This window comes from Homo sapiens, chromosome 5 (assembly GCF_000001405.40).
Source record: "Homo sapiens chromosome 5, GRCh38.p14 Primary Assembly".
Lineage (NCBI taxonomy): Eukaryota > Metazoa > Chordata > Mammalia > Primates > Hominidae > Homo > Homo sapiens.
The window spans coordinates 151635575-151660842 of NC_000005.10; the positions used below are offsets into that span (position 1 = coordinate 151635575).

The window sequence follows — 25268 nt, forward strand, 5'->3', positions numbered from 1 at the left end:
AATAAATCTTGCTGCTGCTCACTTTTTGGGTCCATGCCACCTTTAAGAGCTGTAACACTCACCCCAAAGGTCCGTGGCTTCATTCTTGAAGTCAGCGAGACCACGAACCCACCAGAAGGAACCAACTCCAGACACATTAGGACCAAAGAGAAAAGCAGGTGCCTAAGATCACGCAGCTCACCAGAAATAGAGTGGACACATCCAAAACCCAGGAAGGTCTCACATGCCATTGTAGTCTGTGACTTTATATCTTACCATAACTTCAAATTTATTTTTAAAAATAAAAAAGTACAGAAAACTCCCACAAATCCTTGACCCAGATTCACCATTTGTTTATATTTTGCCTTATTTTATTTATCATTCTCTTTCCTACAGACACACACACACAAACACACACACGCACACATGCACAGGCATGAACTATTTGGAAGTAAGTAAAAGATAGCATCTCTCAAAGCTTCAGGGTGTGTTTCCCAAAGTAAGAACATTCCCTTACACAATCACAGTACAACGATCAAAATCAGGAAATTTAACTTTGATACAATCCACTGTTTAATCCACAGTCCATATTCAAATTTCCTCCGTTGTCCCAGTAATTGACTATCTCCCACCCCACCTCAGAACTGGCGATTTTTTGCACTCATCACTCCTGTGCCCAGGAACCTGCTTGCCTCTGGGGGAAACATGAATAAGGCTTTTAATCCTTCTTCTTCTACCCTCCCATCCTCTGAGTGCTCCTGTCCACTGCCCTCCCCACTCCAGCATACCAAGACAAGACAGAACGGGGGGTGCCGCTGCGAGGAGCACTCGAGCCTGACCTGAGAGTGCAGGAGGACCCCTGAGACTATGCCAGGTGGATAGGTGCATGAAAAGCACAGAGGGCACACTCACCAGCCCTCAGTAATGCCCACCAGCCTTCCCTGGCCTCTAGGATCAAGAGGGGTGCAGGACACTGACTAGGTCAAGGAGCTTACATTCTATCTAGTTCCAGAGACAAAACCCACTCCCATGAAAAATCCACACACCCCCAGATATGTTTCAACTGTGAGGGATCCATGTCTGGGAAGGGGCAAGAAGGTACTTTCTGGAGTGCTAGAAATATGCTGTATCTGAGAGGTGGTTGCGTGGAGGCATATACATGCGAACATTTAACCAGCCGCGCTCGAAAAACGTCTTCCCTTCACTCTATATATATCTCAGTAAACAATTAAAGCTATACATGTGTGTAGTCAACAATCCCAAGGTGGAACATGGTGCAGTGGAGAAAGGCTGTGAGCTCCAGAGGAAGAGACAGGACAGCTTCTAGTTTTTTCCACCTGTCTGAAGTAGTTCCTGCCTGCCACTTGGTAGACACCAAATAAATACTGTTGAATAATCAAATAAATTAATTTGATGCTGTGACTATATTTCTTAACATGGAAACCTGTCAATGATATCTTTCCAAGTGCAATAAACAGGCTGTAGAAGAGCATGTGAGAATTATCTCATTTTTGTAAATATTTATGTTCATAGTTTTTGTGTATCTAGTCTGGAAGAACACACCAAAATCCTAATGAAAGTTATGTTGGGTGAAAAGATAAAGACAATATATTTTCATTCTTTTTTTCTTCTTTGTACTTAAATTTTTTTCTAGCAAGTTAAACTGGGTGAAAAAGCAAATATATATATCTATATAGATATATATAGATATATCTATATCTATATATATATCTATATAGATATATATAGATATATCTATATCTATATCTATATCTATATCTATATAGATATAGATATAGATATCTATCTCAGTAAATCACTCCAGGGCAACAAAGTAGGGTCCAGAGCACATCGGCGCCAATTTGTGAATCTCTAAAAGGGGGTTATAGTATGTAATGTGTCTCAAGCTTACCTGACCAGAGACCCTTTGGGGAACTGCTGCTCTAAAGAGAACTGCATAAAAGGAGTTGGGTCTCTGATAATTGCATGAAATCATCACAGCAAATCACAACTACTTACATCCAAACTTCTCTTATACACAAGAAAAGCAAACCTTCTGTGTAAGTTAAGGTGATTTGGCTCTTCTGCCATGCAGTTGAACTGAATTCTAGCTGGTACCAGAGCTTCGCACAGTGCCGCACATTTAGAAAGTGGTCAAGAAATGCTAACTGCTGTTGTTTGCAGCAATCTAACAGGATGCCAGGACCTGGAGAGGCTGTTTTCCCAAGCCTTTGTCTGAGATGGGATTCCTGAGGTGGTTACTGAGCCTGAGGTGGTTACTGAACCAATGCCTCCTCTGCTCTCTAAGCTCCGGTAGAACAAGTTAGGGACAGAGTCATGCTCTGGGGCTGGAAGCTTAAAACCTGGAAGATATCCCAGGCAGGGCATGTCAGAACCCAAATGCATATGGACTTGATAGAGCCTGGAGAGTGACTGAAATCACAGCTGCCCAACTTATATGCGGAAGTCTCCTACCGAGGGAAGAAAACCACAGATTCTCAGAGCCAGAAGGAAACTGCAAAGGTAATCACTCCAATCTCCAATTTAATGTCTGTTCTCTCCGTGGCTTCCCCTCTAAGTGGCCCTCCACCTGTACTGAGAACCTCCAGGGTTGGATGCTCACCACTCCCCCAGGCAGCCTGTTCTGTCTTCACATAGCTCTAGAGAAAGCTTTTTCTTTATGTTGAACTATGACTTCCACCCTTTGACCTTGGCTCTGCCTTCCAGGAGCACACAAAGCAAATCACACCCTCAAAAATCTTTTATGAGATTTTTCTCCTTAATCAAAATAATCATAATGATAGCTACCATTAATGAGGTCTTTACTGTGTTCTAGACACCATGCTAGACACTTTACATGCCTGATCTCATTTAATTTTCACAACGGTCCCATGACATAGTGTTTTCAATTGGCCCCATTTTACAGATGAGGAGTCTGAGTCTTAGGTGAGACGAAGAACCTTACCCAAGATTGCTCAGCTAGTAAGTGGCAGAACTGAAATACAGAAGCCAGATTTTTCATGTTCTAAACTACTGATGAGCCAGGCATGATGGTGCGCACCTGTAGTCCCAGCTACTCAGAATGCTAAGGAGAGAGGATCCCTTGACCCCAGGAGTTCAAGACTATAGTGAGCTTTGACTACCTGTGAAAAGCCACTGCGTTCCAGCCTGGGCAACAGAGTAAGACTCTGTCTCTAAAAATAAAAATATAATTCCTGAGCTTCACCACTGCACTCTGCTACCTCCTGTGCACACCCACCCACACATGCACACACACGCACACCCCATCAAGTCTTCTCCAGCAGTATGCACACTGACAACTCTGCAATGTCGCAATAGAAATTCTCACATGGTTCTGAAGGACCTAGAACTTTTAAGCGATTCTGCCAACTTCTCCTCTGGTTTGCACACCTCTCTCCTGCCATCAGCACCTCCTAATGCAGCCCTTGGTTTGAGCTCCTTACATTGCTCTTGGAATATTGCCACTGCGGGGCATATGGGCTGTTTCCATTTGTCCAGCAGGCCTTCTCCTCCTCATTCCAACTGATTCTGAGGGGCCCATCATCGCATTGTCTCCACCCAAACCACCACTGCAGGTATGTAACCTGGGCTGGGCTGGCTCTCTTCCTCCCATTTTGGCACCAGTGATCTGTACCACAAGAGACAGTTCCTTGGACCAGCTGTGGCCAAAGAGAATCTTTCTCTGGGAATCCTGTGGGGACTTAGAGAGAAAGAAACATCCTCCACCCCCACGGACTACTAGATTAGTAAATGAGAAGATGTAAACCTGGAGCGGTAAGGCCCTTATATTAGTTTCCTATTGCTGCAGTATCGAGTGACCACAAATTCAGTGGATTTAAACAACATAAATATATCGTCTTATAGTTCTGGAGGTAGAAGTCCTAAAAAAAAAAAAAAAAAAGAGGTGTTGGCAGGGTTATGTTCCTTCTGGAAGCTCTAGGGGAGAATCTATTTTCTTGATTTTTTTTTCAGCTTCTGGGCTCCCTACAATCTTCAGCTCATGGCTTCTGTCTCCACTCCATCTCTCTCCCTCTCTCTTTCTCACCTCTGCTTCTTTTTTTTTTTTTTTGAGACGGCATTTCGCTCTTGTTGCCCAGGCTGGAGTGCAGTGGCACAATCTTGGCTCACTGCAACCTCCGCTTCCTGGGTTCAAGCGATTCTCCTGCCTCAGCCTCCCTAGTAACTGGATTTCAGGCACCTGCCACCACCCCTGGCTAATTTCTCATATTTTTAGTAGAGAAAGGGCTTTGCCATGTTGGCCAGGCTGGTCTCAAACTCCTGACCTCAGGTGATCCGCCTGCCTCGGCCTCCCAAAGTGCTGGGATTACAAGTGTGAGCCACTGCGCCCAGCCCTCACATCTGCTTCTATCATCACATCTCCTTCTACTCTGACCCTCTACCCACCTCTTATAAGGACCCTGGTGATTACTTTGGGCCCACCCATAGATAATTTTATCATCTCATTTCATACTTAACTTGGTCACATATGCAGAATCACTTTTGCCTCATAAGGTAACATATTCACAGGTTGGGGATCAGGACATGGACATCTTTGGGGGCCATCATTCAGCTCATCACACTCATCCATGTGGAGGAGCTCAGAAGCAGCAGGAGACAGGCAAACATGTAGAGCGAACAGAGCTAAGAGATGGAAATGATAGGACCCTTGATCCAGCCATGCTGGGAGTTGCAAGTTGTTGATTACATGAGCCAATGAATTCCCTTTGTGCTTAAGTTAATTTGATTTCACTTTCTGTCACTTGCAACCCAACAAATTCTGACTACTGCACATGCTTACTAGTCATGATTGTCTTAGCCAGACTTAGCTCCTCAAGGGCAGGTTCTCTAAGTTATTGCCACAATGAGCCCATTTCAAAAACTCCAAATTGACACCTATAACAAAACAAACACACAGCTATGTTTAAGAAACAACAGATATAAGTAGAAAAATTGGGATTAACCTGGAACTCAAGTAGTCTAGGGGAGGATGGTACAAAGAGCACAGCACTGGGGGAAAGGACACTTGGGTTTAATCTGAGCTCTTGTGGGAGAGATCCAGGAAATTCCATAGCTGCCTTGGTTTTCCCCATCTTCATCCACACAAAGGATTGCTTGGTTGAACACCAAGGTTGCATCCCCCTCTAACCTTCTGAGAATACACTTGTTGCTCTGTGTTTCTATCACATACCAAGGCACCACACCGAAAGTTAACAAGAAGGCTGGGCTCTTGTGGTACATAACCAGGGGCAATCACCCTACCCCTTTCCTGTTTCCTTTTCCTGCAGCCTTTGGCAGCAAAACAGTGACTATGAGAGAAAGCCAAGGATGAGAATAGGAAATGAAACAGCTCTGTCTTCCAGCTGTTTAAAAAAAAAAAATACACACACTCCTACACACATACACACAGGTAAAGCCCATCTACCATGTAGCCACTTGTATCCTTGATTAAGTCAAATCCAGCCAAGGGAATACTCTACATTTACTTAGTATGTTTCCCTATTTTTAGCATTTTTTTTGCAATAACAAACTACTAATTTAGGGAATTTTAAGAATAATGTTTTATGGGTTTTTTTCTTTTTCTGTTTTTTTTTTTTTAAACCATAAGATGATCAGATCTCTAAGGGCCCTTCTAGCACAATCATGTGAGGCTTCTCAGGAGTGTGTGCTCAAGGGCGAGGTCCATACAGAACCTTGGGAATGGCCAGGTTGGAGGAACCATCCCAGCAAGTGACAGGGCTAGCTCGTACCTTGACTTCAAGTGCCTTTCAGAAGGATATGTTCCGTGGGGGAGTCATTGCACTTCCAGGTCTGCTTCTAAAGTAGTAGTAGGGCCTTGAACTTTGTCCTCGTGGGACAGTTATTTCCCCATTGGGCCTTAGTTTTCTCCACTGCAAAATGAAAATATTGGACCAGAAATTAATTAGTAAGAGCCCTTCCAGGAGACCTGAGAGGAGTTCTGGAGAGCTGGTTATGTTGTGTTTCTTAAACTGGGTGTGTGTTACACTGATGTGCTCAGTTTGTGAAAATTCATTGAGTTGTACACTTATGATTTGTGCATTTTTCTGTATGCATATTTTTCTTCAATTAAAAAGTTTACATTAACTATTTTTTTTAAAAAAGATAGGAGGTCTACTTGTGTTTCTGAATCAGAAGAATAAAAAGGATTGGAGGGGGATGAGCAAAGATGAAACAAAATTTGATGTGAATCGATCACTGCTGAAGCTAGGAGCTGGGCATGTGGATTCCTTATGCCATCTTGTCTACCTTTGCATATGTTTGAAACTTCCCAGAGTGAAAGTTTGAAAAAAGAGCTCTTCTAGCTCTAATATACTGTCATTTGAGGAGCTCCCACTATTATGCAAGAATGCAGAAAAAAGGACAAAGGAAAATCACAGCTCCCCTCACTCCAGATTTGAGTGTCTTGTAAAAGAGAAGGAAATGGACAAAACAGAGTTATTATAGCAGAAACAAGAAGTATTGTGACTGGGTGTAGTGGCTTATGCCTGTAATCCCAGCACTTTGGGCGGGCAGATCACTTGAGATCAGGAGTTCCAGACCAGTCTGGCCAACACGGTGAAACCCCATCTCTACTAAAAATGCAAAAAATTAGCCGGGTGTGGTGGCACACGCCTGTAATCCCAGCTACTCAGGAGGCTGAGACAGGAGAATTGCTTGAACCTGGGTGGCGGAGTTTGCAGTGAGCAGAGATCAGGCCACTGCACTCTAGCCTGGCCAACAGAGTGAGACTCTGTCTCAGAAAAAAAAAAAAAAAAGAATTGTTTCTCTTGAACATAGTTTTTTGTTTGTTTGTTTGTTTGTTAGTTTTTGTCTTAATTTCAGATCTCATTTGATGTATTTGTGTCTGACAGAGCAAATTAACTGTATTAGTCCATTTTCACACTGCTATAAAGACATACCTGAGACTGGGTAATTTATAAAGAAAAAAGATTTAATTGGCTCACATTTTTATGGGTTGTACAGGCTTCTGCTTCTGGGGAGGCCTCAGGAAACTTACAATCATGACAGAAGGCAGAGGAGAAGCAGACACCTATTCACATGGCTAGCAGGAGAAAGAGAGGGCAAAGGGGTAGGTGCTGCACACTTTCAAACAACCAGATCTCTATCACAAGAACAGCAAGGGCAAAGGCTGGCCCCACGATTCAATCATTTCCTACCAGGCCCCTCTTTCAACACTGGGGATTACAATTTGACATGAGATTTGGGTGGGGACACACAGCCAAATTATATCATTAACTAAGAGTGTTTTATGACATGGCTATTTATTTGTTATCTATAAGAATGCCAGTGAGGTCTGGTGTTGATTTGTTCTCAGTTGTCACAGCCTATGCATTGTTGGCTCCTCTGCCCTGGCATGAGCTGGGGCACTTCAGCCGGTGGCAGGAAATAGTGGAACAGGCAAATCCCATAAGGTCCCTCTGGGGTTTGGCTTGACCTTCAAACAGTGGGTACGATGTCACCCTCACACTTACAAGAGTTGTGAAACATCATTGCAAAGTGGCCAGGATTCACTTACTACTTAAATGTAATGAGCACCTACTCCATTGCCAGGCACCAGTCTAGGGGCTGGAAATACAGCAGTGCACAAACAGACAAAACTCCCTGACCTCATGGAGCTTCCGTAATTTGATAATTTATATAATAGCTTTAAAGGCTTTTCCAAGCTAGACAAAGGGGTGCATGCCTGTAGTTCCAGCTACTTGGGAGGCTGAGGCAGGAGGATTGCTTGAGCCCAGGAGTTCAAGAATGTAGTATGTTATGATCATGCCTGTGAATAGCCACTGGACTCTAGCCTGGGCAACATAGCAAGACTTCATCTCTTAAAAAAGAGACTTAAAACTTTTTTTAAATTGTGGTAAAATATACATAGCAGTTTTTGTATATTTTGCCACAATTAAAAATTATTTCGGTTGAATAGTTGTTGTAAAACAGATGTCTAGAACTTTGTCGCTTTGCGGAACTGAAACTCTATACCCATTAAGCAACTCTCTTGCCCCCTCTTCCTAGCCCGTGGTAACAACCATTCTTCTTTCTATATCCGTGAATTCAACTTCTCTAGGCACCTCATAGAAGCGGAGTCATACAGTATTTGTCTTTTTGTGACTGACTTCTTTCACTTAGCCTAATGTCTTCAAGGTCCATCCACATGGTAGCATGTGTCAGAATTTTCTTCCTTTTTAGAGCAGAATAATATTCCACTGTATACGTGTAACACATTTCATTTATCCATTCACCTGCCAATAGAGACAGGTTGCTTCCACATTTTGGCTATTGTAAATAGTGATCCTATGAACATGAGTGTACGAATATCTCTTTCAGATGTGTATGCACCCAGAAGTGGAATTGCAGGATCATATGGTAATTCCATGTTAAATTTTTTGAGGAACTGCCATGCTGTTTTTCATAGTGGCTGCATCATTTTACATTCCTATTAACAATGCACAGAGGGTCCAATGTTTTCACATCCTTGTTAATACTTGTTACTTTCTTTCCTGCCACCCAATAATAGCTATCCTAATGGGTATAAAGCCTATTTTATAAAAAACTACTTGTACTAGCTTAATTATAGAACAATTGGGCTAAATTAAGTTAGCTGGAAAGCTGGGAAGAATGCACAGCTCAAACTCACCATTTTACAAATGAGTAAATAAAATCTTCTGAATAAAGACCCCATCTAGGCATGCATGGATGTGAATAAAATTAAAATTAAAAAATGAATAAAGAGACTTATTCAAGATCAGGCCATGGGGGACTAATGGAGGTGGCACAGCATTCTAAACCAGGAGTCAGCAAACTTTTCCCTAAAATATTAGATATTTACTCTCTGTTCCTAAAGGCTTTGCCCACCATAGTCTCTGTCGTAGCTTCTCAACTCTGCCATTGTAGTGTGAAAGCAACCAAATGGATGTAGCAGTATTCCAATAAAACTTTTGCAAAAATTTGTAAAAATAGGCAATAGGCTGCAATTTTTTAATCCCTGTTCTAAACCAATAAACTAAAGTGTGGGACCAGCAGGTGTGTATTGTTCCCCACCTTCCCCCCACTCTGGTAATAGCACCTTGATTTCCTTTTGATGAACTGCCTATCTTCCCAGTGCCTGTGATCTTGGTAGAATTGTCAGTCAAGGTATGTTGCCAGTTCTGGTCAAGAGGTGGGTCCATGACCCAAGCTGGGCCTTTCTATCTAAGGACTTTGAACCTTACAAAGGTACAAAGGGAGAAGATGACTGAAGTTGATCCCACCTGTGTCTTTGTTGACTCTATTGAGGGGTTCCTCTACCTGGATCTCCAGAGTTGCCCAGCTCCTAGCCATTTCCAAGCCTGGTGTCTCAATTCTTCCTTCCATTTTGCAAGCAAGCCCACATCCTTTCAGTAATTATTTTTTCTGCTAAATGACTTGAAGTCAATTTCTGATGCTCACAACCAGAGAATCCTGACTGATCATTCACTTTTAAGAAAAGATGTGCTATATAATTACTTTAACCACAATACCCCCAACAGCTAAAACAGGATTTGATTCCTTTCTCTTTTTTTTTTCTTTTTTTGAGATGGAGTTTCACTCTTGTTGCCCAGGCTGGAGTGCAATGGCACCATTTGGCTCACTGCAACCTCTGCCTCCTGGGTTCAAGCGATTCTCCTGCCTCAGCCTTCCGAGTAGCTGGGATTACAGGCATGCACCACCACGCCCGGCTAATTTTGTATTTTTAGTAGAGAAGGGGTTTCTCCATGTTGGTCAGGCTGGTCTCGAACTCCCAAACTCAGGTGATCCACCTGCCTCAACCTCCCCAAAGTGCTGGGATTACAGGCATGAGCCACCGCACTTAGCCAGCTAATTTCTTAAAAAGCAAATTATCTGAAAGTTTAAGGACATATCAGGCTCATCAGTTGAAATTCCTGTGTCCATTCCTGCCAGTGTGGACATACCACGCTGGAATGCCATTATCCTTCAATCTTTGTTCAACAAATACCTCCAGCCCTGGTGAGCTCTCCCTTGTGCAAGCCCCTGGTGCTCTCTGGGTCTTGGATTCTTCATCTATAACAAGAATGGAGTGAACAATTACAGTGACTTAGTTTCCATCCAGCTCCAGACTTGGATCAGGGCCTCCTACTGTGTGCTCAGCACTGTGCCAGGGTATAAAAGAAGGCACCGTGATCCCCCCGACTTCAAGGAGCTTGAGGATGAGTTGGGGAGACATGTCATAATCAATGGTGACACAGGGTGGCCTATGTAACACGCAGGTGAAGAAAACAGCCACCGGAGCTCAGAGGGCAGAAATTTGCTGTGGACCGGAAAGGACTTTAGCTGAGCCTTTACAAGCAGATAGGCTTTGACTAAGGAGAGAGGAAGGCAAAATTACATGCACTTTGGAGGCCTATTCAGCACCCTTCAAACTAAGCTCCGGCAACGTTCTTGGGCTTCATTTCCATCCCTGAAGCAGCAGAGGATGAATGGAACAAACCTTTCCAACAGAACCAGGGACTATCTGGTCCCATTCTACTGGTGCCATTATTTGTTGCATTGGGTTTCTTGTAGGTATTTTCAGTTGTTGACCGCAGGGAGCAGGGTGTGGACAGCTCTGAGTGTGTTAGCTAGAATATCAGAGCCTTGCTGAACTTGCTCATTTTCTGCCCATCCCAGCTGTCCAAGCACTAGAGGCAGCCCCCTGGGTCCACCCCACCCCACCCTTCAGGCAGGCAAGATGAAAGGACGGTGGCTCACATTGTGTAGTCTAGTCCCCCAGGAGGTGCCTCTGATGCCAAGTATTCCTGTGGCTAACAAGCCCTGGTTGCAGGGGTGGTGGGCAGGGTGGCACAGGGAGGTAGGGGGTAGCCCTCTCTCTCCTCCTCAGCTTCCTAAAAGCCATCTGTTCCAGAACCCAAGCATTGCTTCCCGCTACACCCAAACCACCGCTACACCCAAACCCGTGGGACTGGTTATCCCCAGCACACACAGCTCTCTGTTGCTGCTTGTGTTTGTTAGTTGGCATTTGAACAGTTCTCTGTGGTTCAAGTGTGAGGGTGGCCTGGGGCAAAATGAGATTGGCAGAGGTTGGCATGGATACCACACCTCCTTCCCACTCTCTTACCCACGAGCCCAGACCCCTAAACTTCCCCCTATATAACAAACACCACCATCGCCTGGAACTCCCTTCCCCTTCAGGACCCCATTCTTTACTTTTTCAGATGGCTTATTGGAGAAACAACCTCTTCTAAGGCATGAGATGTTGCTAAAGTTCTTTTTCATAGGGGTCCTCTGTGGACAGCACACCCAGGACTCATGAGAGGATAATGGCTGGAAATTACAGGCATGTGGCAGCTTCTGAGGGACAGATGGAAGTAGGTTATCTCCTCTGCTCTTACAGTAAATCTTAAGTTTTTCTATACATTGTCACCTAAGGTATGTAAGATTTTCTTTTCTTTTTCTTTCTTTCTTTCTTTTTTTTCTTCCTTCTTTTTTTTGAGTCAGGATTTCCCTCTGTCGCTTAGGCTGGAGTGCAGTGGTACCATCACAGCTCACTGCAACCTCTGTCTCCCTGGCTCAAGCAATCCTCCCACCTCTGCCTCCAGAGTAGCTGGGACAATAGGAGTGTGCCACCAAGCTTGGCTATATTTTTTTTTAAGAGATGGGCTCTCACTAGGTTGCCCAGGCTGGTCTCAAACTCCTAGGCTCAAGCAATCTGCCCGCCCTGGACTCCTAAAGTGCTGGGATTATAGGCGTTTAGTGCCTGGCCCTCTATTCATTTTCTATTCAGCAGACACTGGGGTGCACTGGCCTAGCAGGGGTGAGAACTGACTTCTTAATCAACTCAATGACTCATGTGCCATGTCATCTTCCCTTTTGGGAGAACCTCAGTTTTGTTGTGTGATGGGGTTTCATTGAGTTATTGCCACCGGGCTCACAATTTATGAGGCAGTTCTCTATTTTTTAAGAACTACCCATGAAGCTAGGAGACATGAGGTTCCTCCTGACTCACTCTGTTTCTCTGCTATTTGTGGTGGCTATCATGGAGGTAGGGCACTTCACAGTTTGCAGGGTGTCCAGACTGCCCTGACTTGATTCAGTGTTCAACAAATATTTTTGAGTATCTCTGAAGTGCTCGGCATGGTGCAGGTTCTGTGGATACAAGCATGAGTGAAGTAAGTGGTTTGGAAATAATGTGCTACGGAAACGAACAATGTATTCAAAAGGTGCACAATGGCCTGGAGCAGTGACTCAGGCCTGTAATCCCAGCACTTTGGGAGGCCAAGGTGGGCGGATCACCTGAGGTCAGGAGTTTGAGATCAGCTTGGCCAACATGTTGAAATCCCATCTCTACTAAAAATGCAAAAATTAGCTGGGGGTGGTCGGGGGGCGCCTGTAATCCCAGCTACTCGAAAAGCTGAGGTAGGAGAATGACTTAAACCTGGGAGGCAGTGGTTGCAGTGAGCCGAGATGGTGCCACTGCACTCCAGCCTGGACCACAACATGAATGAAACTCCGTCTCAAAAAAAAAAAAAAAAAAGAGAAAAGGGGGGTGCACAAGTTCCTTGCAGATGGAACTTAAGCTATAAGGTGGGAATGAATACAAAGAGCCCAGGGAGGAAGGTAAGATGAGGATTACCACTCCCATTTTACAGAGCAACCTTGGAGACACCGACTGACCATTCTAGACTGACTGGTTAGAGGCTCCCTCCCTGAGAAAGTGGTGTTTTAGGAGAACACTTCCTAACAAGAAGAAGCCAGCTTTGGGAAGAGCTAAAGGCAGCTTGCGCAAAGGCCCTGAGGCAGGAACCAGCTAGGCCACTGGGTACATTTGAAGACCAGAAATAAGGTCAATGTGTCTGGAACTTAGCTACTGCAGGATATGAGATTCAAGAGAAAAATAGGGTTGAATCATGAAAAGCTTTAGGGATTTTGTTTTGAGTGTAACAAAAAGTCATTGGTGGTTTTTGTTTTGTTTTTGTTAATTGTACCTTTTTAAATGATCATGCTAGCTGCTGTAATATTGTCACCAGCACCACTTTGTACCTCTTTTTTTTTTTTTGAGATGGAGTTTTTCTCTTTCACCCAGGCTGGTGGGAAGTGGTGAGATCTCAGCTCACTGCAACCTCCGCCCCCCAGGTTCAAGCAATTCTCCTCCCTCAGGCTCCCGAGTAGCTGGGATTACAAGTGTGTGCCACCACACCCAGCTAATTTTTGTATTTTTAGTAGAGACAGGGTTTCCCCATGTTGGCTGGTCTCAAACTCCTGACGTCAGGTGATCCGCCCACCTCAGCCTCCCAAAGTGCGAGATTACAGGCGTGAGCCCCTGGACCTGGCCCACTTTGTGCCTCTTTGGCACACCATTCACTTTGTAATCAATGTAAATGAAGACCTCCAGAGCTGTGCAAGGTGGAGCAGTCCCTATAGTTCTTCCCAAGCCCTATGTGCTTTCAGGATCTGAGAATCTAGTGTTAAGAGACTTTGGGTTGGGAAGAGTCTTCCCTAGGGGCTTTAATGATGTCAATCCTAAATCTTCTTGGAGAAGCCCAATGGGAGTGCTGGCCCCTCCAGGGTGTCTTTATTGATCTCTGTAAACACTCCCTTCTCCCAAGCTCTTTCATCCGAGAGGCCAAGCCAAGTGGAGGCAGACGCTCACTCACTCTCTCCTCCCTTCAAGCTGACACTCTGTAAGCCTTTAAGCAGCTTGTAACTCCATCATCTCAGCGCCCCTTGGAAGCGAGCAGCGTCAGATTAAGCGAATCTGGGATCCGGGTGCTGAGGAATTTGGGGCCTCTCAGGTCTCTTGGCAGGAGTAACAAGTACCTGCAGAGACTCTTCTTCAGAACAAGTGAAACTAATTCCTTCCAGGGGCAGAAAAAGGCATGTTTTTGGCAAAAGACTTCATAAGATGTTATCTCAACATCTTATGAAGTTGGAGCCCTAGGAGGGAAGGCAGTTGCTAAACCAGGTGGGAAAACAGATAGGGTGGGAGGGAAGGACTTAGGTAGGTTCCCACACTGGTTTGGATCCAGGGCCGCCTCTGGAACTAGGTTTCCTGGCCTGAGGAGGGTGGCCTCATGCCTTTTCCACTCTCCTAGGACTAGACAGGGAGAAAGAAGAACGTGGAAGGGAAGGAAGGGGAGAAGAGAAGAAATGAACTGCTTAAGTTCATGGCCCCATTCTACTCCTCAAGCTGGACAACTTAGTGGAAAGAGTTGCAGATGTAAAGTTACAGATGCAAGGAAGCTTCAGCATCATCCAATCTAACCCTCTTATTTCTTTTTATTTATTTATTTATTTATTTGAGACAGGGCCTCCCTCTGTTGCCCAAGCTGGACTGCAGTGGCACAATCTTGGCTCACTGCAGCCTCCTCCTGTGAGGTGCAAGCAATCCTCCCAGCTCAGCCTCCCACGTAGCTGGGACTTCAGGTGCATGCCACCATGCTCAGTTAATTTTTTTTAAATTTTTTGTACAGACAGTATCTCAGTATATTGCCCAGGTTGGTCTCAAACTCCTGGGCTCAAGCAATCCTCCCACCTCGGCCTCCCAAAGTTCTGGAATAACAGACATGAGCCACTGTGCCCAGCGAAGCCTCTTATTTCATGGATGAAAAGACCAAGGCCCCCAAGATGAGTACTTCCCAATGCTGACCAGAAGATGAGATGGCCTTCTCCTGTGCCAGAGGAAGTTAAAAGTGATGCATTTTGAAGGAAATTTTGGCAACATTTGTCAATGTTTTAGACACACATACATTCTTTGGCCCAGCAATTCCACTTCTGGAACTTCATCCCACAGAAACCCTTGTACATGTGTACAGAGATGTATGTACCAAGTTGTCCTCTGTAGTGTGCTTTGTCAGTGCAAGACACCTCAAGAGACAGTAAAGGGTGTGCTTAGCAGTAAGTGCAGCATTAAACTGCTACATTGGTATTACAAAATACCATGCAGCCACCAGAAGGAAGGAGGCAAATATATCTCATTACTATGGAAAAATTATGAGTGATATTGATTGATTGATTGATTGAGATGGAGTCTCGCTCTATCGCCCAGGCTGGAGTGCAGTGGCATGATCTTGGCTCACTGCAACCTCCGCCTCCCAGGTTCAAGCGATTCTCCTGCCTCAGCCTCCCAAGTGGTTGGGATTACAGGTGGCTGCCACCATGCCCAGCTAATTTTTGTATTTTTTTTTTTTTGAGATGGAGTTTTGCTCTTGTTGCCCAGGCTGGAGTGCAATGGCACAGTCTCAGCTCACTGCAACCTCCCCCTCCCTGGTTCAAGCGATTCTTCTGCCTCAGCCTCCTGAGTAGCTGGGATTATAGGCACCTGCCATCACGCTCAGCTAATTTTTTGTATTTTTAGTAGAGACAGGGTTTCACCATGTTGGCCAGGCTGGTCTCCAACTCCTGAACTCAGGTGATCCACCCCCACTTGGCCTCCCAAAGTGCCAGGATTACAGGTGTGAGCTACCATGCCCAGACTAATTTTTGTATTTTTAGTGGAGATAGGGGTTTCACCATATTGGCCAGGCCAGTCTTCAACTCCTGACCTCAAGTGATCCGCCCACCTTGGCCTCCCAACATGCTGGGATTACATGCGTGAGCTACCGTGCCCAGCCTATGAGTGATATTTAAAATTAAAAACAAAGCATGGCTGGGAAAGGTAGCTCACTCCTGTAATCACAGCATTTTGTGGGGCCAAGGCGGGTGGATTCCTTGCCCCTAGGAGTTCAAGACCAGAGTGGGCAACATAGTGAGATCCCATCTCTACAAAAAAAAAATTAGTTGGGTGTGGTGGCACACAACCTGTAGTCTCAGCTACTCAGGAGGCTGAGCCAGGAGGATCACTTGAGCCCAGGAGGTCGAGGATTCAGTGAGCCCGTGTTTGCACTACTGCACTCCAGCCTGGGTGACAGAGTGAAACCATGTCTCAAAAAAAAAAAAAACAAACAAATAAATAAAAGCACATCAAATATATTGTGTTATCCCACTGATCCAACAAAAAAATGTGTATATGCTTATGTATTATTTTATTTTTATAGTTTAATATGTATATTTCCAGAAAGATATGCAAGAAATATTCATAGTTAATTTACTTCATTTTACACCCTTATGCACAGTTTGAAGTTTTTGTTTGGTAGATTTTTATCACATGTGTATTACTTTCATTGCAAAAAGAAAATTGAGATGGAATTTGCTCAGCTGGGATCATGTAGTCATCCAGTTACTTTTGGGACTGGAACCAGACCAGGTCTCCTGACTTGTCTCTTTTGACTTTTGCGCACTGCCTTCTCTTCTAAGCTCAACAACCAGACTTAGGGCAGAGAGGGCTCTGCCTCCTTTCCATCTGTCCAATGGCTGAGAACTGGGGGTATGAAACTGTCAGTGCTCAGGGATGATGACATTCTAGGTTTTTGGGCTTCTGCCTATTGGATTCCTTTTCTGGCTGCACCACTAAAAGTAGATAATAAGCAAATGACAAATTCCTTCTCTTTTCTGAGACTCAGTTTCCCCACCTGCATAGTGGTAGCGTGGGTGTGGGTGGTGAAGTGAAGCTCACTCCTTCAATGTCCTGAGAACCTTTTAGCTGATGCTGCTGCTCCTCCAGGCTTGGGAGCATGGGGCTCAGGAGTTTTCATTCCTTGAGCCAGGCTTCCCCCTGCTGGTCTCTGCCAGTAGCGCTCGGTAAGCTTCCAGTAAAGTGTTCTAACTGGCCGTTGGTGGGGCAGGAGCTGGAGAAGCTCGACATCCTGCAGTGGGTGAGACAGTTGTGCACAGTGAAGAATTGTCTCACCTCCTGCATGGCTTTCCAATAAACAGATGATCTGAGCTTGGAACGAACTCCCCTTTACAAACATCAACAAAGTGGTTTGGGTTTGTGCTGTTTTGTGTTGTTTTGCTGTGTTTAGAGATGGTCTCTGTTGCCCAGGCTGGAGTGCAGTGGCATGATAATACCTCACAGCAGCCTCCAACTCCCAGGCCCAAGAGATCCACCCACCTCAGCCTCCCATGCACCTGGGACTACAGGCTGGTGCCACCACACCTGGCTTGTTTTTGTTGTTGTTTTGCATTTAAGATATATTGAATTGCAAAGACCCTGTAAATCAAGGGATGCTTGAACTTAGCTTGGTCCAGAGCAAGAGTTGTTCACCATCTCACAAAATCATGTCACCAGTGCCACTTGTGTGGGAATCACCTTTTCAACCCACTTGTGTCCATCTGCATTTGTAGCCATAACTCTTTGCGAGTATGTAACCAAGGAGCTCTGAGACTTCTGTTTAACAGATGGAGAACTAAATATTACTAAATTAGCACAAAGATATATGAAATACAGACACTTTATTTCATTTATGAAGGCTGTTTAAAATATATATTATTGCCATGTTTTATGTTTTTAAATTTTTGGTAGCACAATAAGAAAGCTATATTGTGAAAAATTATGTTCTTATTTATGTATCTTTTGGTTGCCTGTTTTTTTTCAGCCTGACTGATACTGTCCCCAGATATCTACCACATAAATTCTCTATGCCCCTTATAGTGTAATTTTTCTTTTTCTTTTTTCCCTCAATCATCTTGTGGTCCCCATCACCTCCTAAAGGATATGGTCTCCAAGTGTTTTGAAGAATCAGAGGCCAAGTGTATCTTGGACATGTGGGGAGTTGCTATGGGCCTCCACGACAGTATGAGTGGCTCCAAGTCCTCAAGTGTCACTAAAGCTCAAGATTTTGACCCTATGCTTATACACAAGGCCCAACTCATTTGCAATGCTCACACCTCTCCTCATCTTCCCTTCTTCCACACTTTGTAATTTCTTTTGGTATGCCATTCCCTTCTCAGTTAACCTTATTACCCTTCCTCTGTTAGTATACATGAATAAGTCGGGTCTGTTCTTTACCTTAATCCATACCTCTGATCTTTTTTTGTCTGTACTTCCTAGATGGGTATGACTTCTGCTCCATCTATTCTCTTAAATCTAAACTTTATTCTTCTAAGTAGGCATACACATCTGACAATTTCATTATATCTTCTAAAGAAGTCATGCCTCAGCATTTACATACTGAAAAGTTTTGTTTTATTTTTATTTTTATTTTTAGATGGAGTCTTGCTCTGTCACCCAGGCTGAAGTGCAGTGGCACAATCTTGGCTCACTGCAACCTCTGCCTCCTGGTTTCAAGCAATTCTCCTGCCTTGGCGTCCCGAGTAGCTGGGATTACAGGCCCCTGCCATCACACCCGGCTAATTTTTTGTATTTTTAGTAGAGATGGGGTTTCACCATGTTGGCCAGGATTGTCTCAAACCCCTGACCTCGGGTGATCCGCCTGCTTCAGCCTCCCAAAGTGCTGGGATCACAAGTGTGAGCCACCACCCCCGGCCGAAGTTATGTTTTATGATAACTACTTGCATTTCTCCTTTCATTTTACAGTTAAGGTATCATATTGATTTGTTAAATTTAATTTATCTTGTCTATGAATTTTATTGCAGAGTAGTATGAAATATTTGTATTCACTTAAAGTGGAAAGACAATCTGCACACCTGGAGGAGATATTTGCAACATTTACAACTGGCAAAGGTTTATTACCAAGAATATATAAAGAAGTCTTATAAATCAACAAGAAAGAAGAAAAACAACAGAAAGAAATGGACAAAAGAAAAAGCATTTTATAAAAGAAGAAATGCTCATGGCCAGCAAACATATGGAGATGTTCAAACTCATGTGAAATGTAAATCAAGACCCAATAAGATAAGCTTTTATGTCCACTAAAATGGCAAAATGTTAATAGCTAGACAATCCAAGTATTGGAGAACATACAGATCCATGGGATCTCTTACATATCGCTTATAAGGGTACGCATTAGGACATAGGACACTCACTTAGAAAAAGTGTGGCATTATCTTGCAAAATCAAACACTCACATAGGCTGCTGTGCAGGTCCTGAGTCTGTTTGCCCTCAGATCCACTCTTTGCTATGCCCTTATGTCCTCAGTTTTCCAGCAGGATCTCGGCAGCCATGTCATCTTGCTTCCAGTTGGGCTCAGTTAATAAAAGAGAGAGAATGGAAGGTGGAAAGAAGGGAGAAGCCAAGGTGTTTCTCACCAGCACCCTCCCCTTCTCCTCTCAGGTAACATCCCCTGTGGTGGCCACAGCTCTCCGATGGGTCCAGTTCCCACAGGAAAGCCAGCCATGATTCTAACTTCTACCAGGTGACCCTGGCCCTGGGCTCTGGTGACACTAACCTTTTGTTTCTCTAGTCCTGGGGAGGGGTAGTAACAGCTTCCTGCTATTATTAATTTATGGATTGCCTCATTGCCTCCTGTGAGGCTTCTCAGCTATTGATTACCATACTACTCAGCAATAAAAAGGAAAAAACTATTGATACATGCAACAACTTTGTCGGACCACAAGAGAATTTTACCAACTAAAAAAGCCAGTCTCACATTGTTACATACTATATGATTCCACTTACATAACCTTCTAGAAATGACAAAATTATTGAGGTGAAGAACAGATTAGTGGTTGCCAAGGGTTAAAGACAGGGTTGGGGTTGGAGAAAGAAATCAGTGTACCTAAAAAGAAGCAGCCAGAGGGATCTTTGTGGTGACGGGACAGTTCTGTATCTTGATTGTGGTGGTGGTTATACAAATCTACGTGTAATAAAGTTTTATGTGTGCATAGAACTATGTACATACTCAAACAAATGCATGTAACCCTGGTGAAATCTGAATAAGGTCTGTGGATTGTGCCAATACCAGTGACCTGGTTTTGATACTGTATTATAGCTATCTAAGACATTATTATCAGGAGAAAATGGGGGAAAGGTACATGTACTTTTCTGTACTATTTTTGCAACTTCTCGTGAATCTGTTACTATTTCAAAATTAAAAGTATCTGAAAATCCATAGAGTGGTTTCTGTTTTTTCTGATTAGACCCTGACTGATACTCCTACAACCCCACAATTCCTTCCGCTCCTAGATGTATATTTACCTAGCAGATAGGCCCCAGAGAAACTCATAAATGCATGTGTAGCAGTTATTCATGACAGAAGAAAACCCAACCACTCATAAATAGGAAAATAAATAAATTGTGGTACAAACACGAACAAAATCTTATACAGCAGTGCAGATGAATGTAATATGCTATACACAGCAATATGGATAAGCCTGAACTCATAATGCAATGTTGAGTGAAAAGGGCAGGGCTCAGGACATTATTTATAAGTGTTTTATCAATGTAAAAACACAGCATTTGTTATAAATTTTAAAATTACCTAAAATGATACAACATATTGCTTAGATATATACAGGTGCATGTGTGGGTGTGTTTTTGCTTATGTTGCTGTGATATTTATTATTATTTTTTCCTAATCACTAGAAAATGTGGGAATTATATTAATTGTTAAACATAAGGGAAGGATAGGTCAGGCGCAGTGGCTCATGCCTGTAATCCCAGCACTTTGGGAGGCCAAGGCAGGTGGATCACCTGAGGTCAGGAGTTCGAGACCAGCCTGACCAACATGGAGAAACCCCGTCTCTACTAAAAATACAAAATTAGCTAGGCATGGTGGCACGTGCCTGTAATCCCAGCTACTTGGGAGGCTGAGGCAAGAGAATCCAGGAGGCGGAGGTTACGGAGAGCCGAGATTGTGTCATTGCACTCCAGCCTGGGCAACAAGAGTGAAACTCCGTAAAAAAAAAAAAAAAAAAAAAAACCATAAGGGAAAGATAAACACAAAATTCAGGAAAGTGGTCACAGAGCGGACAGGATAGAGAATGAACATAGGTGTCGCCACTGTTCCAGTTCTCATGTGGGGAGGCAGGCTCATGGGTGTTCAATATATTATTTGAAAGATGATAGATGATAGATAGATAGATAGATAGACAGGTTGATGGATAATGGCTAGATGATAAATAGATAGATATATAGATAATAAATAGACAATTGATAGATGACAGATATAGATGATTGATAGGTAAATAGATGATTGATAGATAAATAGGTAGCAGATAGATTGATTGATCGACTGATAGATAAAAGCAAAAGAGAGTCATGCAAAGACCAACCAATGACAGTGAGTCATGAATCAAGGATCACAACGAATGGCTCTACGACTTGAGGTCTACTGCATTATCTATGTCTCCATTTATTATTAAAAGGAGGTATGGAGTCTAATAACTCTGGGACCTCCAATCTAATGAGAACAGAAATCCATGTGCTCTCGGATTCAGAAAACTGATGCCCATTCTTGTGCCCCATCAGGGTTCTTCTGAAAGCTTTTTGGTTTCTCAGACTCCAGTATCCATCTGTCCTATCCCTAGGTTCCAGGCTTTTTCTACTCTGGACTTGCCAACCTCTCATTAGTTAATTCATTTTCTTAACACAACTTGCTCAGCATTTAGTATGTATCAAGTGCTCAGACCTGGAGACACAGCAATGAGCAGAAGACACCAGGTCTCTGTCCTCATGGAACTTACATTTTGTAGTTTGGTGGGGCAGACTGGGAGGGGGTGAAAGTTGTTCGGGAACAAAAGCAAATAAACAAGATAATAATTACAGCTTGTGGTCATTGGTATGAAGGAGAGATGGGAGTGAGAGGGGCAGGCAGCAAAGCCTTTCTGAGAAGGAGACATCTGAACTGAGAAGCAGAGGGTGCAGAAAAGGCAGGACTAAAGCTGGGGAAACAGTGCAGTTCCAGAGGGGACAGCGAGTGCAAAGGCCTGGAGGCAGGACAGACTTTGGCCTGTTTCAGGAACAGAAAGGAGGCCACTATGCCTGCAGTGTACTGACTGAGGGCATAGTGATAGCAGACTCCAGAGGTCATTTACAGGGAGGGCACCAGCTGTGACCAAGATACAACCTGAGTCTCCTGGCACTTATTTTCCTGTTTGCACAGATTGCTTGCTTCCTGGTGGTCATAATTTCCTCTACTTCTCTGAATCTTACCCACTCCTATAGACCAGGTCCTGCCCATCTCCTCCCAGAAACTTCCTCAACTCTCCCAGCTCTTGGGTATGGGGGGCACCTAATATGTGTTTGGCAGTGGGTGACTCTCTTCACTCTCTTACCTCCAAGCCAGTATTTCTTAAGGTATGGCTTTCTGACCATCTGAATTACAATCCCCTAAAATCTACCTAGGTTTTAAAAGTATTTTTAGTGAAATATTTGAATTATGGTGAATAGAATACTGATCATTCATGTACTTAATATCTGCTTCTAAGACCATTACCATTTGTCCATATTTGCTTCTGTTTTATTTTCATTTTTTAAGAAACAAAACACATTACAAATACATACATGTGCTTATCAAAAGGTCCCAATCTGGACCTACTCACTCAGAATTCCTGGAAGTAAAGCTAGGAATATGCGTTTTTGCAGATTTTACATTCCTTCCTCACTCCCCTTCCCTTACCCACAAAGTTTTTTTTTGTTTTTTGTTTTTGTTTTTGTTTTTGTTTTTTGAGACAGAGTTTTGTTCTTGTTGCCCAGGCTGGAGTTCAGTGGCGTGATCTCGGCTCACTACAACCTCCACCTCCTGGGTTCAAAAGATTCTCCTGCCTCAGCCTCCTGAGTAGCTGGGATTACAGGCACGTGCCACCACACTCAGCTAATGTTTTGTATTTTTAGTAGAGATGAGGTTACACCATGTTGGCCAGGTTGGTCTCAAACTCCTGACCTCAGGTGATCCACTTGCCTCAGCCTCCCAGAGTTCAGGGATTACAGGCATGAGCCACTGCACCTGGCCAGTGGTTTTTATACACAGTGAATATTGACAATTACTGATAGTGCCATTTTCAATCTTCTCATCCAAGTAGTTCTTCCTTATAGCTAATCCAGGGGGTCTTTGCTATGCATGAGAATCCCCTGGGGAATTTTTTTAAAATACAGATGTCCAGGCCCCTCCCTAATCTAGTAAACCAGACTGGGCAGGGATGTTAGGAATCTCTGCCATTAAAACCTTGCTGGTGGGTTTTTAACGGTAGCAGAGGTTGGGGCAGAGGAGGACCCACCTCCTGTCTGAAACACTCCTGGTGATCATCAAAGTGAGGATTCAGATGTCCTTCCACTTGCTGTCTCCCAGAAGGATGTCAACAAGCCTTTCCTATGCCCCTGCGGAGTACTGGGCAGGGCTGCAACCGAAAGATATTGGTCAGGCATGATGGAGAAGCCCTGACCTATGTCCGGGATGCAGTTTGAGCTCAGACATTAACTCAGTGGGTGGACTTGGAGGTACGGTTGGCAGATCTAGCAAAGAAATAGGATGACTGCTTAAGTTCAAATTTCAGATTTCCAACAAATAATTTTTTAGTAGAAGTATGTCCTAAATGTTGCATGCGACGTATGTGTACTACAAAATGATTTGCTGTTTATTTGAAATTCAAATTTAACTAGGAGTCTTTTATCTGGAAATCCTACTTGAGGGAGTATCTTCCGCGTCTCTGAACCTCTGAACCTGTTTCCCCATCTGGGAAATGAGAGGGCTGGACTAGATGGCCTCTGTGGGTCATGACAGCTTAGAGGTTAAGATGCATTGCGCAGGTCTAGGAGATTTTCTTCTCAGCCCCAGCAGGGGGAGCCCTAACCCGCCTCAGCCGCTTCACCAGCTAATGGCTCAGCCAGGAGGCAGCCGGGTCCCGCTGGCTCTGGGGGGCCGTCTGGAAACCAGGTTGTAAGACCTGGGAGAGTCCAGGTTTGCTCATCCCTAGGACAGCCTATTCAGAAGGAGAGAAAGGGAGATCAAAGTCTCTGAAGATAGGACCATCTCAGCCAGCGCCCCATCTGCCAAGATTTAGAAGAGAAGACTGAACCCCTAGAGGGGTAGGCACTTTTCCAGGTTCACACATCTGTCCTGAAAATTAGATTCCTATCACCCTGTCCAGGACTCCTTTGCATCTTTAGAGTACCTATGTTTTTCTGTTTCCAGCTGGAAGTGTTTAACCATTGCAGTCCTGTAGCCAAAACCAATGCAGACCCCAACCAGCCCAGTAGAGCCTAACAGGAGTGAGACAGCCCCGCGTCCCTTCACAGAGGGAGTGTGGTCTGGAAGAAGGAAACATTATGACTCATGGATAAAGTACCCGTCTAGGCAGTGAGGAAAGAGCAGACCCCTCACATTTAAGTTGGGAGTGGTAGTTGATGATGATGATGATAATTATTATGGTGACTATAATGATTATTTATTGGCTTTCTCTATGCTGGGACACAACAACCTATGAGACAAGGATCATTATCGTCAGGATTTTTACTGATGAGGAAACAAGTTCAGAGTGTTGGGTCATTGGACTAATGAGATTCCATCCAGTTCTGCAGCAGGAGTGGGAGGGAGGGCTGCTTCCATTCTCTGGCCCCTTTGACCTGGGTGCCTCCAATTTCATCAAGAGCCTGGCCAACTCCTCCTCAATGAAAGGTACAGGGGGCCAGGATTATCTCCAAAGGACCCACACCTTCCCATGAAGAGTCAGTGCCTAAAGGAAGGGATGCTCACCACTTCAGTTTAGGAGATGATTTTAGGAGAGTTACGAATTTGGCATTAAGATTGAATTAATTACAGTTCAATTATCCTTTGGTCTTTCTATCAAGGAGAACATCTCTAAGATTTCTTCTTGAAACAAGAAACAGCATTCTTTAAGAAGCATGAGGCAAGGCCAGGCAGGGTGGCTCATGCCTGTAATCCCAGCACTTTGAGAGGCCGAGGCGGGCAGATCATGAGGTCAAGAGATCGAGACCATCCTGGCCAACATGGTGAAACCCCGTCTCTACTAAAAATACAAATCTTAGCTGGGCCTGGTGGCACACACCTGAGGCAGGAGAATCGCTTGAACCCAGGAGGCGGAGGTTGCAGTGAGCCAAGATCACGCCACTGCACTCCAGCCTGGTGACAGAGTGAGACACCGTCTAAAAAAAAAGAAGCATAAGGCACATTTATAACTGCATAACATTGTTTTTTCATTGTATGTGCATTTTTACCATATTTACCTTTAAGGTTTATCTCTATGGTAAATGATACTAATTTTTCATCTAAGGTAATGATACAATTTATTTTAAATGTTAAAATTTTTGTTTTTTTTTTTTTAAAAAAATTGATTTGAAGTGGGGAGAAGGACAGATAGAAGGAGGATATAGAAGCTCTACCCTTAAGGGTTCTGGATTCTGAGGGACCCTGTTAACTCAGCTGATGAATTTTGCTGAAGCCAGCAGGGCATGCAGCCCTACCCTGTCCTCCCGCCCGGGGCCCTGAGCTGATTCATACATCATGGCTCTTTGATGCTGATTTTTTTTTTTAAACTTTGGAGCTCC

At 44.0% G+C, this 25268-nt stretch overlaps 2 long non-coding RNA genes across 3 annotated transcripts, besides 1 other annotated feature; one reads left to right on the forward strand and one right to left on the reverse strand.

Moving 5' to 3' along the window:
- On the forward strand, positions 2366 to 19875 carry LOC105378231 (uncharacterized). Of its 2 annotated transcripts, none has more exons than XR_944417.3 (2): positions 2366 to 2502; positions 18460 to 19875. It is a non-coding gene; the product is annotated as an uncharacterized LOC105378231 (long non-coding RNA). The 2 variants fall into 2 exon arrangements; XR_944416.3 differs by lacking the exon at positions 2366 to 2502 and adding an exon at positions 16681 to 16851.
- Positions 15993 to 18931, reverse strand: LOC124901116 (uncharacterized). The gene is made up of 2 exons (XR_007059007.1): positions 18892 to 18931; positions 15993 to 16727 (listed from the first exon to the last, which is right to left on the reverse strand). It is a non-coding gene; the product is annotated as an uncharacterized LOC124901116 (long non-coding RNA).
- Positions 23628 to 23747: an enhancer, noted in NCBI's record as "active region_23459". NCBI's record gives its function as "activates an Ori minimal core promoter by ATAC-STARR-seq in GM12878 lymphoblastoid cells {active_cell/tissue: GM12878}" and the evidence as "EXISTENCE:reporter gene assay evidence [ECO:0000049][PMID:35858748]".